The sequence below is a fragment of the Homo sapiens genome, chromosome 3 (genome assembly GCF_000001405.40).
Source record: "Homo sapiens chromosome 3, GRCh38.p14 Primary Assembly".
In the NCBI taxonomy this organism is placed as follows: Eukaryota; Metazoa; Chordata; class Mammalia; order Primates; family Hominidae; genus Homo; species Homo sapiens.
The window spans coordinates 149,281,948-149,295,968 of record NC_000003.12 but is presented as its reverse complement, the minus strand read 5'-3'; the positions used below and the strand labels follow the sequence as shown (position 1 = coordinate 149,295,968).

At 45.8% G+C, this 14,021-nt stretch overlaps 1 long non-coding RNA gene across 1 annotated transcript in view; it reads right to left on the bottom strand.

Annotated features, from left to right (window-relative positions):
- TM4SF18-AS1 (TM4SF18 antisense RNA 1) overlaps window positions 1-11,190 on the bottom strand; it is a 48,974-nt gene extending 37,784 nt beyond the window's left edge. The window contains exon 1 of the long non-coding RNA NR_186251.1: window positions 10,787-11,190. This is a non-coding gene — a long non-coding RNA (TM4SF18 antisense RNA 1). The remainder of the gene's footprint in view (window positions 1-10,786) is intronic.
- Between the last annotated feature and the right edge of the window lie 2,831 nt (window positions 11,191-14,021).

Sequence of the window (14,021 nt, the reverse complement as noted above, 5' to 3'; positions counted from 1 at the left end):
AGAGAATACAAAATAGAGTAGACTTCATTGAGAGGGTGACATTTGAGTTAAATGTAGACCTGAAGAAGGGGAAGTAGGTAGTCATGAAGATATTTGAGGGAAGAGGATTCTAGGCAAGAGAAAGAGTTAGTGCAAGGGCCTTAAGGTGTAAACATGACTGGTATGCACAAGGAGCAGCAGGAAGGAAAGACTAGCTGGAGTAATGTGAGCAAGAGAGAGGAGTAGGAGATAAGAGAAAACACATAATGGGAGGTGAGATCCCTAAGGAGCTTTGAAAGCTGTAGAAAGAACTATAGCTTTTATTCTGTATGAAATAGAAATAGAGTTTCCTGATCCCCCTCGCAGATGTGTGACAGGAGTGTGGCTCACCTGTTCAGTCGCCACTGCTGCTCAAACCCTTGAGGGGAGGCAGAGCACACAGACAGACAAGTGCAGGAGGCCAAGTGGGCATGTGTTACAGTGTGCCCTTTTAGCACTGCCATCTGCAGATGGTTTCAGTGTTAGCTGGCTCAATGGACCCTTTGCCTTTTTGCAAGGGCAGAGGGCCAGCATGACAGCTTTCTGTTTCCCAAGTTCTTGCCCAGCGTCCTGGAACTATCAGGTCACATATGGGCTTGAAGGATGAATGTGGGGTTTTATTCAGTGGTGGAGGTGGCTCTCACCAGGATGGCTGGGGAGCTGGAAAGGGGATGGAGTGGGAAATTATCTTCCCCTGAAGTTTGGCCGCCCAGCAGCTGAACTCCTCTCTGACTGCCCCCAGCCGAACTCCTCCTGGCATTCAAACGTTCCTCTTCTCTCTTTTTCTGCTGCATCATTCTGCCATTCATCTGCTTGTCTCGTCTCCTTGTCTACTCATCTGCTTCTGGAGCCTGGGGTTCAGGGTTTATATGGGTACAGAATAGGGAGCCATGGCGGGCCAAAAGGCAACTTTTTGGGCACAAAAACAGAAATGCCTGTTCCCACTTAGGGCCACAGGTCTCCAGGCTTGAGGGTGAGGCCTTTGCCAGGGAACTGCCCTCTTCCTGTCTCCTGTCCATATCATCCCCACTCTGAAGAGGCACATCTAACTGCCATTAGAATATGGACCATGACCAATCTTAGCTACTTCCTGCTGACAGGGGGTGTTGTTTGGGGAAAAAGGCAGTCAGATTTCTCCCAGAGGTCTAAGGGTCCCCAGCAAAAGGGAGCCATTGTCTGATGCTCCAGTTGCCTGACCATTTGGAGTTTGATGACCTCTAGATGAGAGAGAGAAAAAAACAAGTTTTATAAGGTTAAGTGTGCATGGATTAAACATGTGTATTATACAAGGAAAGAATCTAGTGCCAAAGATTACAGAAATAAGAAGTAAGATATACTATTTATTCTGAAAACACTATTGTGCCCCATAGTATGGAACAGAACAAGGGTAAGAACAGCAGGCATAGACAAGACTGTAAGGAGGATATCCATGGAAGGTTAGTTATTGCCATTTATCTTTTGTGATTTTTAGCTTGAGGCCCCCGATCTCTTCACATTGGTACTTTGAGTGCCCTCCTGGGTCAACAGAGGTGACTCCACTGGCTTCCCAGGCCTTTACTCGGGTGCAATGAATCCAAGAGTCTATTCCAGTGACCTTCACTGCCGTAGGAGTAGAAAGAAGTACAATGTAGAGTCCCTCCTAACCTGGGCCTATAGAAGGAGAAAGGGACGGAAGTACCTTTACTAGCACTAGGTCCCCTGGGTTGCATAGAGGTGGCCCTGGTACACAGAACTGGGCCTCCGACAGTTGTTTCAGTTCCTATTGGAAATGGACCAAATATATTATGTGCCTAATTAAATCAGAGGTTACTTGGTCTAACAAGAAATCATTGGTGAGAAAAGACCAACCATACATCATTTCAAAGGGACTGAAACTTAGCTTTGAAGGAGTATTTCTAATACTTAACAGGGGCTATGGGGAAAAGGGTAGGCCAGGGGAGATGAGTCTCCTGAGACAGTTTCCCGAGGTACCTTTTGATAATATCATTTGTCTTTTCTATCTTTCCTGAGGATTGTGGTCTCCAGGCACAATGAAGATGGTACTGTATACCTAGTGCTTTTGAGACCCCCCTGAGTGACAGCTGCCTTGAATGAGGGGCTATCATTGCTCTGGAGGTATTTAGGAAGTCCAAAACAAGGAATTATCTCACTGATCAGTAATTTTATTACCTCAGAGGCTTTCTTTGTCTGACATGGAAATGTTTCTACCCAGTTAGTGAAAGTATCTATTCATAATAGGAGGTACTGCATGTACCTTTCCTTTGGCATATGGGTGAATCCATTTGCCAGTTTTCCCCTGGGTAGCCTCCTATCCTTTGGGTTCCTGGGAGAATAAGCTGTCAATTAAGGGGATTGTTTTCAAGGCAGGTCTTGCAAGTATTAATGACCTGTTGAACCATTTGTATCAGGTTTTTACCTGAGAATAATCTCTGGGCCAGTTGATAGGTTTTATCCTTACCTAGGTGGAAGGCCTGGTGAAGGCTTTTAAGAACTTTCCATGGGTTGGCAGCTGGTGGATGAAGCTTACTATCCTCTGATTATAGCCATCCTGAGGACTGCAGGATGTATCCCTAAGAGGTGGCCCATTCTATTTCCACAAGAGAATATTGAGGTTTTATTTCTATCACGGGGCACTCCCAGATCAGTGGGACTTCAAATGGGTCAGAGACCTGGGGCCCACTTGCTGCTGATTAAACTGCTTGGTCTGCCAGCCTATTTCCCTCAACTATTTCATCTGTCCCTCTTTGGCAGTCTTTACAATGTATTATTGCCACTTCCTGTGGGAGGAAAACTGAGGATAATAGTCTATTAATTTTCTGATTATATTTAATAGGAGACCCATTAGCTATGAGGAAGTTCCTCTTTCCAGATAGTGGTATGGGCATCGAGGACCAGGAAAGCATACTTAGAATCAATATAAAAGTTAACGTTTTTCCTTTGCTTAATTCGAGCACCCTCGTGAGGGTGATTAGTTCAACTAGCTGACCATTTGTGCCCAAGGAGAGAGGTGCACTCTCAACAACATCATTCAGAGTAACTATTGCATACCCTGCTCTGTGAGTTCCTTTTTCTACAAAAAAAACTTCCGTCCATAAACGGAATCCAGTCTGGGTTATCTAAGGGGGTTTCCTTGAGGTTCTCTCTGGCTGCATAGGTTTGTACTACTATTTGCTAGCAGTCATGTTCAAGTTCCCTGGATTCCTCTTGGAGGAAGGTGGCTGGATTTAGGGACAGGTTCTTAATTAGAAGGACTGCAGAACTTTCTAATAACAGAGCTTGGTATCTGAGGAGGTGGTTTTCTGTTAGCCAGAGACTCCCCTTAGAAGACAGTAGTCCTGCCACATTATGTGGGATATAAACGGTTAAGTTATTCCCCGTGGTTAACTTATTAGCCTCTGGTACCAGCAAGGCTATTGCTGTGAATGCCCAGAGTCAGGCTAGCCATCATGTGGCTACCAAATCAAGCTCCTTACTCAGGTAGCCTACATGCTGCTGGGCTGAACTCCAGGTCTGTGTTAGAACTCCCAGTGCCATTACTTTTCTCTGATACATAAAGCTTAAATGTTTTCCCTATGGGGAGACTTAGGGCTGGTGCCTTAAGCAAGGCTTGTTTTAGTTGGTCAAAGGCCTTTTTAGCCTCTGGTTCCCAAATTAGACAGTGAGATTTAGCTGTCTGAGTCTCCTTTATTAGGTGAAATAGGGACAAGCTATTTCACTGTACCCAGGTATCCATGGTCTGCAGAATCCTGTAATGTGTAAGAATTCCCTCAGTTTCTTGAGGGTTTTAGGGAAGGGAAAGGAGGAGATGGGCTTAATCCTCTCTTTGTCCAATGCCCTGGCCCTCTCTGACAAAGCCAGACCTAGGTATTTCACTGAAGTCTGAGATACCTGAGCATTAGATTTTGAAACCTTATATCCTCTGTTAGTCAGAAAGTTAAGAAGGGCCTTACTGCCCTCCTAAGAGATTTCCTCAGTTGGAGCGCAGAGAAGGTCATCCATGTATTGTAAAACTTTAACCTGAGGATAAAGGAATTCAGAGAGGTCTCTCAATAATGCCTGGCCAAACAAGGTGGGGCTGTCTCGGAACCCCTGAGGTAACAGTGTTCTGGGTGGTTTGGTTAGAGGGATCCTTAAATGCAAACAAACACTAGGAGTCAGTGTGTAAAGGTGTGCAGAAGAAGGTATCCTTTAGTTCCAGAACTGTGAACCATTTAGTCCCCTCAGGTATTTGAATTAGTGGGGTATATGGATTGGTAACCACTGGATGTATTGGAACCACAGCCTCATTAACAAGGTGGAGGTCCTGAACTAGTCTTCATCCTTGTTGGGTTTTTGTACCCCCAATATTGGGGTATTACAAGAGCTGTTGCAGGGTTTGAGGAGGCTCTACATCTTCAAGTCATCAATGATGGCTTCTAGTCCTTTCCTAACTTCTGGTTTCAGGGAATATTGTTTCTGGTTAGGAAAGGAGGTGGGATCTTTAAGATGAACCCAGACCAATATGTCAGGTGTGGCTCAGCCAATCTTCCTTCAAGTTGCCCAAACTTCTGAGTTAATATCAGTCTCCACTAGGGGGAGACAACGAGTTTGCCCAGGGGCCATCAGGATGGTGGTCCCTATACAGGCCAGAATATCCCTGCCCAACAGAGGAGTTTGGCTTTCAGGCATAATTAGAAAAGCATGGGTGAACAAAATGTCTCCCCAGCTACAACTAAGGGGTTGGGGATAATATCGGGTTAAAGTCCTCCCTGAGACACACTTCATGATTGTGCTAAGAGAGCAGAAGGGCCCAGGACTGGAGGGGAGAACTCAAGAGACCAGCCCTGGTGTCCAAAAATTTCCTCCCTTCAATTTCCAGAATTACCTGGGGCTCCTGGATGGTAATGATGGTCTGGACCACTGGAGCCAGGGAAAGGAGACCCAGGACCCATCAGTCCTGCTGCTGGATCATGTAGATTGGTTCTGAACCTGGTGACCAGCATCCCCAGGGACAGTCCACCCTCCAATGGTCCCCATTGCAGATTGGACAGGGTTGAGGTGGCTTCCTCGTGCTGCCTGGGTAATCCTTCTTGAAATGCCCTGGCTTGCCACATCTGTAGCAGTTAACAGGTGCACCCTGGGAATTCTGGGGTTTGTGGGCTTGCATGGTGGCTATTGAAGCCTCTGTATCTTTCCAGTAATTCCTCTGTCTCTCCTGGGCCTCCATATCTCTATCATAAGAGACCAGGGTGGCTACTAAAGTACTATCTACCAAGGGTCTCCAAAGTACTATCTGGTCCCAGGGCCCATTTCTGCAACTTCTTCCTGATATCAGGAGCTGCCTGGATAATAAATTTATCCCTTAGGATTAGTTGTCCCTCAACAGAATCAGGAGATAGAGAGGTGTGCTTTACCAAGGCCTCTCTTAGCCTTTCCAGGAAGGCAGTGGGATTTTCATCAAATCTCTGGTCAATCATGGATTACTTAGTATAATTGAGAGGCTTGCTCCTAGTCTTACAAGCCCTCCATTATACACACCTGAAAGTGCCTCTTCTTCTAGTCTCCCATTTCATCATTGGGATCCCATCCAGTGTCATCCATTGGTACTGCTTCTCTTCCAGTTGGATAATGTTCATCCCCTTTCTGACACTATATATGATACAAAGCTCATCCCCAGATCTCTCTGCTGCTTGCAGAGTGGCCTGCTTCTCAGTGTCCATTAGGGCCTGATTCAAAAGTAAAGTAACGTCTCTCCAGGAGAATTCAAATACTTGGGTGAAATTCTGGAAAGCCTCTATATATCTGCCAGGGTTATCTGAAAACTTGCCAAGATCCCCCCTTAATTTGCTTTAAGTCCAGTAGAGAGAAGGGGACCTGAACCTTACTGAGGTCAGATTCAACAGGCATCTGTTGGAGGGGCAAGATTGAGACTGGGGCTTGTCTAGGGTGAGGATTTCTAGGAGGGAGCAAGTGAGAAGCTGAAGCTGGATAGGGAGGTTGGGTGGACCCAGAGGAGCAGGGCTGGAGGGAGCTGGCTCCCCTGCTCTAGGATTTGTATCTTTAGTTCTCTCGGCTTGCCCCTTGCAGCCTTTCCTGAGATGGCAAACAGCAGGCCTGGACCAATCTTACACTGTCAGCAAAAGTCTGGATTGCCTTGCAAGGTGTAGAAAGCCTGCATATATGAGGTCTCAGACCATCAGTACTCATGTCTACGGAAATGGTCCAACTGCCAGATGGTATCAAAATGAATGGTTCATTCCTGAGGCCATCATAGTCCTTCATAATTTGGACAAACCTTTGTGCACAGGGCTATGAGGCATTTTTCCTCCGAATTCTGAGGGTCAAAGCAGTCCCAGTGGTTCAGGATACACCCCAGAGGAGTATAGGCTGGCAGTGGTGAAGAGAACTGGTTGCCCATTATGAAAGACAGGGAATAGAGGTGTCCCTCATTTCCCTTCCTTACTGCAGCGAAAACTTGGGGTGTGATGGAGAGAGGAAGCAAGTGTCCTTTCTTTTTCTTCCATCTTTTTGTCCCTGAGTCTCGGCAACCTTGGCAGTCGCCACCCATGGTTACTGATCCGGCATGCACCCATGAAGCAGGGAAGGCCTAGAGAATAGGAATTATTTGCCCTTAACTTTGCCTCCATTTTTCCTACTGCCAGCAACCCTTGGGTTCCCTGGGCTTCATTTATTCCATGGAGCATGGCCTCCTTCCATGAGGTGGGGGGTTTAGTCAGCAGGAATTGGTCCTGCCCATTTACATTGTGCCTGTTGCCTGGCTTTGGACCCCTCAGATTTGGTTTTTCTTTCTATGGCCTCAGCCTCAAGCTTGGAGTCAAGTTTGAGACTAAAAAGTATTTTAGAGGGTTGCATGTATCTGTTTAGATTAAACCTCAAATGAGCCCTGATGAATTTGCAGTTATCAGGGGGATAGGAACCCTCTAATCTAGAAAAGGAGAAAAGAGAAAACAGTTAAAGGGTCAAAACGGGGAGGTCCTGAGGGAAGAAGCCCTTGCTCACTGCTAATGGGTCCTTCCCCCAGTTTGAACTGAGCTGAACTCCTTGGCCAGGAGAAGAAAAGTTCCACTGATGCTGCAGGCGGGAAGCACCAGCCAGCCGGCTGCGCAGGGTCCTGGTGGCAGCTGCAGTTTTCTCCTGCCCCTTGTGGCCATTGGGTGTGGCTTTTGCATGCTGTGGATATGCCCAGGTGCCCGAGCTAGGAGTTGGGGGGTAAGAAAAGGAGGTGCCATGTGCACCTGAGACTGTTGGGGTGGGGGTGGTGATGATACTTCTAAGAATAAACAGAAATCACATTGTTCTGAATTGCACTTTTTTTTTCTTTTTTCCTTTTTCTTTTTTTTTTGAGATGGAGTTTCACTGTGTCACCAGGCTGGAGTGCAGTGGTGAAATCTCGGTTCACTGCAACCTCCACCTCCCAGGTTCAAGCGATTCTCCTGCCTCAGCCTCCTGAGTAGCTGGGACTACAGGTACGTGCCACCACACCCACCTAATTTTTGTACTTTTAGAAGAGACAGGGTTTCACCATGGTGGCCAGGCTGGTCTCGATGTCTTGACCTCGTGATCTGCCTGCCTCGGCCTCCCAAAGTGCTGGGATTACAGGTGTGAGCCACCACACCCGGCCTGAATTGCACTTTTGATGGCTGAGCCAAATGCTCATTCTATTTAATATTGCACAGCCTGAACCAAAACCCGTAACATCATAAAGGAAGAGATGAGAGCCATTTCAAACTGTGAGAGAAGAGAAGACATCAAGCAAAATCTGGGGGTTTTAGCCAACAGACTTCAGTCCTGGGGCCTTGCAGCAAAAAAACACCTTCAGTTGCCCCAGGGCTTTACAGGGTGTGGCTCGCCTGTTCTGTTGCTACACGCTCAAACCCCTGAGGGGAGGGGAGCATGCAGATGGACAGGTGCAGGAGCCTAAGTGGGGGTGTGTTACAGTGTGCCCTTTTAGCCCTGCTGTCCATGGATGGCTTGAATTTAATCAGCTCAATGGACACTCTGCCTTTTCACAAGGGCAGAGGGCCAATGTGACCACTTTTTGTATCCCAAGCTCTTGCCCAGCATCCTGGAAGAATCAGGCCACACATGGGCTTGAAGGTTGAATGCAGGGTTTTATTGAGTGGTGGAGGTGGTTCTCTGAAGGATGGATGCAGAGCTGGAAGCGGGGATGGCACGGGAAGATAATCTTCCTGCTGGGTGGCCAAACCTCTCCGACCACCCTCGGCTGAACTCCTCTCGGCGTTCAAATGTTCCTCTTCTCTCTTTCTCTGCTGTATCGTTTCACCATTCATCTGCTTGTCTGGGATGGTGAAGACAACTGTTTGCTCATTCTAAACGACACGGAATAGAGGCGTCTCCTCATCTGCTCATCTGCTTCTGGAGCCCGAGGTTTGGGGTTTATATGGGTACAGGATAGGGGAGCATGGCAGGATAAAAGGCAACTTTTGGGGTGCGAAAACAGAAATGGCTGTTCCCATTTAAGGCCATGGGTCTCCAAGCTTGAGGGTGGGGCCTTTGCCAGGGAACTGCCCTCTTCTATCCAGTATTTCCCTGTCTCCTGTCCATATCAAAATATGGCCCATTGTAAGGCAATGAGCAGAGGAATTACCTGATTGGATTTATATTTTTAAAGGGCCACTCAGGCTGCTTTGTTAAGAATAAACTGAAGGGAGATAGAAGCAAGAAAGCTACTTAGGAGACTATTGGAGTACTCTAGGGAGGTATACTGGTGGTTTGGACCTGAGGTGTATTAGTAAGAGATGGTGAGAAATTGCTCGATTTGGGGGATACTTTGAATAGGTGACAGATTGGATGTGAAGTGTAAGACAGAGAGGAGCTAAGGTTTTGCAGCCTAAACTGCTGGAAGATTGGAGTTGCTATTAACCGAAATGAGAAAGGCAGTGGTTGAAGTGGCTTTGGAGGGTGAGAAATATTAGTGAAGTTTAATTCTTACCCTTGTTTCCCTTGTGAACTCCCAAAATTTAAGACATGTCTCAGTTAATTCAGAAAGTTTATTTTGCCAACGTTGAGGACACGCCCATGACACAGCCTCAGGAAGTCCTGACAGGTGCCCAAGGTTTATATATATATATATATTTCTAAGCAAACCAAAACAATAATAATATGACAACCTGATGATATAAAAGATATGTATATATGTGTGTGTGTATATATATATATATATCTCCTCTTATTGTGACTTATACTGACCGCTCATGACATGGTCAGACTTTCTAATTTGTTCTCAACATTCTTTTTAAACAACCAGTTATTTTATTTTAGGACTATATTTACCATGCAGGATTCTTTCTTACCTAAAATTACTTTTCTTTCAGCTTCTTTACCTAAAAAAACTCTTTTATTTTTATAACTTTCTATGCATCTTTTTTTGTTTCCTGGTTCCTTTTACCTTGTTTTACACATAACCTTTAAGCTTTGAATTAGACGAAACTTGTTCACCTTTTTTTTAAAGACACACTTTTTTTTAGCAAGAATGTTTTCCTACAATATATATTTATTGGAAAATGCCCAAATAGTAAAATATCTATTATTTAATTTAACTTTATATTCTAAATTATGACCAGTTTGTCTACAAGTATTTATCCCATTACATTTACCTAATTATTTTATTTTAATTGTTTACCTAGATTATTTATGAAAACTATGATAGTCATGATTTAAAGTTGTGAAACCACCATTGCAAAATTATAACTAAGACACTGAAAAAAGATTTGCCCTAACTGGCTCCATCTTGCTCATAACCTCTAAGCTGTCCTTGTTCATTCCTGGGCGTAGGCCGAGCTAACTTTGGGAAGGAATTCAGCTCAAGGTTTGACTCTGAAACAAAATTGGTAACAGCCCTTTCCCAAAAAGACCCCACTTCTTACCTGGGGTCCAGTCTGCCTTTCTAGGACTAACCAATTAGCTACGAGATTGGAAATAACAGTTTAGGGATAATGCAGCCTCCCTCTCCAAGAGTCTAAACCTCACCAAATTGCTCCTGGGGATAACATCACTATTGTAAAACCTAAGATCAGTGCACTTGATGGATCAGTGGACACCACTCAGATCGGTAATCTGGCCCAACCAGTTGTGCCATCGCACACAGTAACAGAAGACATTAAGAAAACCTAACTTTGACCCACTATGATTTCATTGTGTCCGGAATTGGTGGGTTCTTGGTCTCACTGACTTCAAGAATGAAGCCGCGGACCCTCGTGGTGAGTGTTACAGTTCTTAAAGGCAGTGTGTCCGGAGTCTATACTAGAAATCATTCTTATAGGAGAAACTAGAAAAGCACCAGAGACAGGTAGCAATTTTTAGAAGCGGGACTAAACTCAGAGAAGAGAGGAGAGAGGAAGTTTGTCTGGCAGGCATTAGGAACCAGGGGGCAAGGCTCAGGATAGATAGGATAGATGGGCGAGTCTCGCTTGGGCGACATGCCTTTGAGAGTTCCGCTCATGGTCGCAGGGTCAACCAACTTGTTGTCGGGACCCCGGAGGTGCATGGCTTTCCTCTCTGTTGACCCTCGGCTCAGCCCAGAAGTACAGGAAAAGCAAAAGCTGGTTCTAGGCAAACCAATGGTCTCAACACCGAAGAGTCGGGAGTTGTTAGAAAGCCCTTTCCCAGAAAGCCTGACACCCTTGTCTTTAGTCCGGCAGCCGCGCTAGTCACTTTTAACTGGCCGACAGGTGCCCAGTATTTAGCCCCCGAACTCTAAGCAAAGACAGGACAGAATAGCAAGCGAAAGGGGTCCGATGGTACTCACTGCTTGGCGATAGGTGATTGTCTCGCCGCTCAGCTATAGGCGATGGTCTCACCACTCGGTGATAGGCGATTGTCCCATCTAGGTCGCCAAAATGTGTCTGGAATTGGTGGGTTCTTCGTCTCACTGACTTCAAGAATGAAGCCGCGGACACTCGCAGTGAGTGTTGCAGTTCTTAAAGGCGGCATGTCTAGAGTTTGTTCCTTCTGATGTTCGGATGTGTTCACAGATTCTTCCTTCTGGTGGGGTTCGTGGTCTCGCTGGCTCAGGAGTGAAGCTGTGGACCTTCGCGGTGTTACAGCTCATAAAGGCAGTGTGGACCCAAAGAGTGAGCAGCAGCAAGATTTATTGCAAAGAGCAAAAGAACAAAGCTTCCGCGGTGTGGAAAGGGACCCAAGCAGGTTGCCACTGCTGGCTCAGGCAGCCTGCTTTTATTTTCTTATCTGGCCCCACCCACATCCTGCTGATTGGTCCATTTTACAGAGAGCCGAGTGGTCTGTTTTGACAGGGCGCTGATTGGTGAGTTTACAATCCCTGAGCTAGACATAAAGGTTCTCCAAGTCCCCACCAGAGTAGCTAGATACAGAGTGTCGATTGGTGCATTCACAAACCCTGAGTTAGACACAGGGTGCTGATTGGTGTGTTTACAAACCTTGAGCTAGATACAGAGTGCTGATTGGTGTATTTACAATCCCCTAGCTAGACATAAAGGTTCTCCAAGTCCCCACCAGACTCAGGAGCCCAGCTGGCTTCACCCGGTGGATCCCGCACCAGGGCCGCAGGTGGAGCTGCCTGCCAGTCCTGTGCCCTGCGCCCACACTCCTCAGCCCTTGGGTGGTCGATGGGACTGGGTGCTGTGGAGCAGGGGGTGGCGCTCGTCGGGAGGCTCGGGCCGCACAGGAGCCCACGGGGCGCAGGGGGGTGGGGGGAGCTCAGGCATGGCGGGCTGCAGGTCCAGAGCCCTGCCCCGAGGGAAGGCAGCTAAGGCCCGGTGAGAAATTGAGCGCAGCAGCTGCTGGCCCAGGTGTTAAGACCCCTCACTGCCCGGGACCGGTGGGGCCTGCCGGCTGCTCCCAGTGTGGGGCCCACCGAGCCCACACCCACCGGAAACTCGTGCTGGCCCACAAGCACCACGCACAGCCAGGGTTCCCACCCGCGCCTCTCCCTCCACACCTCCCTGCAAGCTGAGGGAGCCGGCTCTGGCCTTGGCCAGCCCAGAAAGGGGCTACCACAGTGCAGCGGCGGGCTGAATGGCTCCTCAAGTGCTGCCAAAGTGGGAACCCAGGCAGAGGAGGCGCCAAGAGCGAGTGAGGGCTGCGAGGACTGCCAGCACGCTGTCACCTCTCACCATCTCCAACTTGACCAATCAACACTCCCTACTTTCCAAGCCCCTACCTGCCAAATTATATTTAAAAACTCTGATCCCCAAAGGCTCAGGGAGATCGATTTGAGTAATAATAAAACTCCAGTCTCCCGCACAATGGCTCTGGGTGAATTACTCTTTCTCCATTGCAATTCTCCTATCTTGATAAATCAGTCTGTCTTGGCAAAGTGAACCCATTGGTTGTTTACAGTACATTTTATAGATTTACAAAGACTCCCTCCTTTTTTTTCCTATCTTAGACTTTCGGTTTCTCGATAACCTGTTTCATAGCCCTAGGCAGTTGTCAGCTAAATAGTCTAAAATTTTCACATTAAAGGAAACAACTCAGGTGAAAATCAAATAGCAAAATTTACGTTATAAAATAGAAAGAGAAAAAAATCTGGCAGTGCTAGAAGGAGACACTTTTATTTTTCTTTGAGCCAAATTAAACATAAAATTAAACTACACTCTTCCTTAAAATCCCTAGAGTAGATTCTGTTGCAATAACTAGTTTAGTAAAAAAAAAAAAAAAAAAATCAGGTGAAAACAGAATTCAGTTAACTGAGAAAAAAAAAGAAAAAAAATAAACTTTTGCTCCAAAAGACAAGGTCTTAGGAGAGAAAAACAAACCAACAAACAAAACCAAAAACATGAAGGCCTTTCAAACATGCACACATGCACACATACACACACACACACACATCTTGGATGTTAGCCTTTTAATTAAGCTGACTTTTATCCAGTCCAAACTCAGCCTCCAGCAATTGTTAAAATTACCAGTTTATTGTGCCAGTGGCTTCTGCTCTAGGTAAGCATATTTCTTCTGTGACTCTAGATTGTCTGTCTCTTCAGATATGGGGATTTGCCCTACAAACTCCATTATCTGATGGGTTTAAGAAAAGCTGTTGATTTTCTTTGTCCAGTTTCTCTTGTTGTAAGGATTATGACTTCCATGCTCTTTACATGCTGGAGCTGAAACTGGAAGTCTTAGGGGTTGGTATTTGGGCATGTTGAATTTGACGAGTTCATTAGACTCTTGCTTCTCAAAGTGTGGTTCATGGACCTGCAGCACTGGCATCATCTGCGAGCCAGTGAGGAAATGCAGAATTTCAGACCCACCCAGACTTATAGAATACAGATTTTTCCTTTTAAAAAAATCTCCAGATGATTTTTCTGTGCATAAACATTTAAGAAGTTGCTATATTAACCATCTAAGTGGAAATGTGGCATAGATTATTGTATATACTGTTAGGCAGAGAGGTTCAAGCCAGAGACACACATTTCTGAGTTTTTGTCATGTTGGCACTATTTTAAGCCATGAAACAGATTCCCTGACCTACATCATGGACTTTAGTATCAGTGCACTCCAACTAAACCACAGGAACACATCTGTAGATGAACAAGTTGTGTTTGTTGCTTAACGCATTGAGAGAGAACATACATGATACAGAACCTTGGGGTATCTCAGAAAAAAAAAGCAGTGTTAAAAAGAACTTATTGTATGATTGGGGTTTGTGTTAGGTGATTTGTGGGGGATGTTTAAGGAAGCAGGGCTTTGCTCTGGATCAAAGGCAGTGAGAAAGTGGGGGAAATTTATGATTGGGTATCTTAATAAATGTAATCTATAAGAAAAGAAGAATGAAATAAAGCTAAAGCTATAATTGGTAAAGAGTAAAACAAAGCTAGAGCCATAAAATATAGTCAGGGAATGTGTGGTTATTTTTGAGATTTGGAGAATGTTCATGTTTCTCATGTATACTGTAAACCAAAAATAAAATTCTAAGGTCCCCCAACCATCTGAAAGGACTTCCTCCTCAGCCAAGGCTCTTTTAAAATTTTACCTGGAGACTGTTTCAGGCCTTGAAGGGCAGCGGG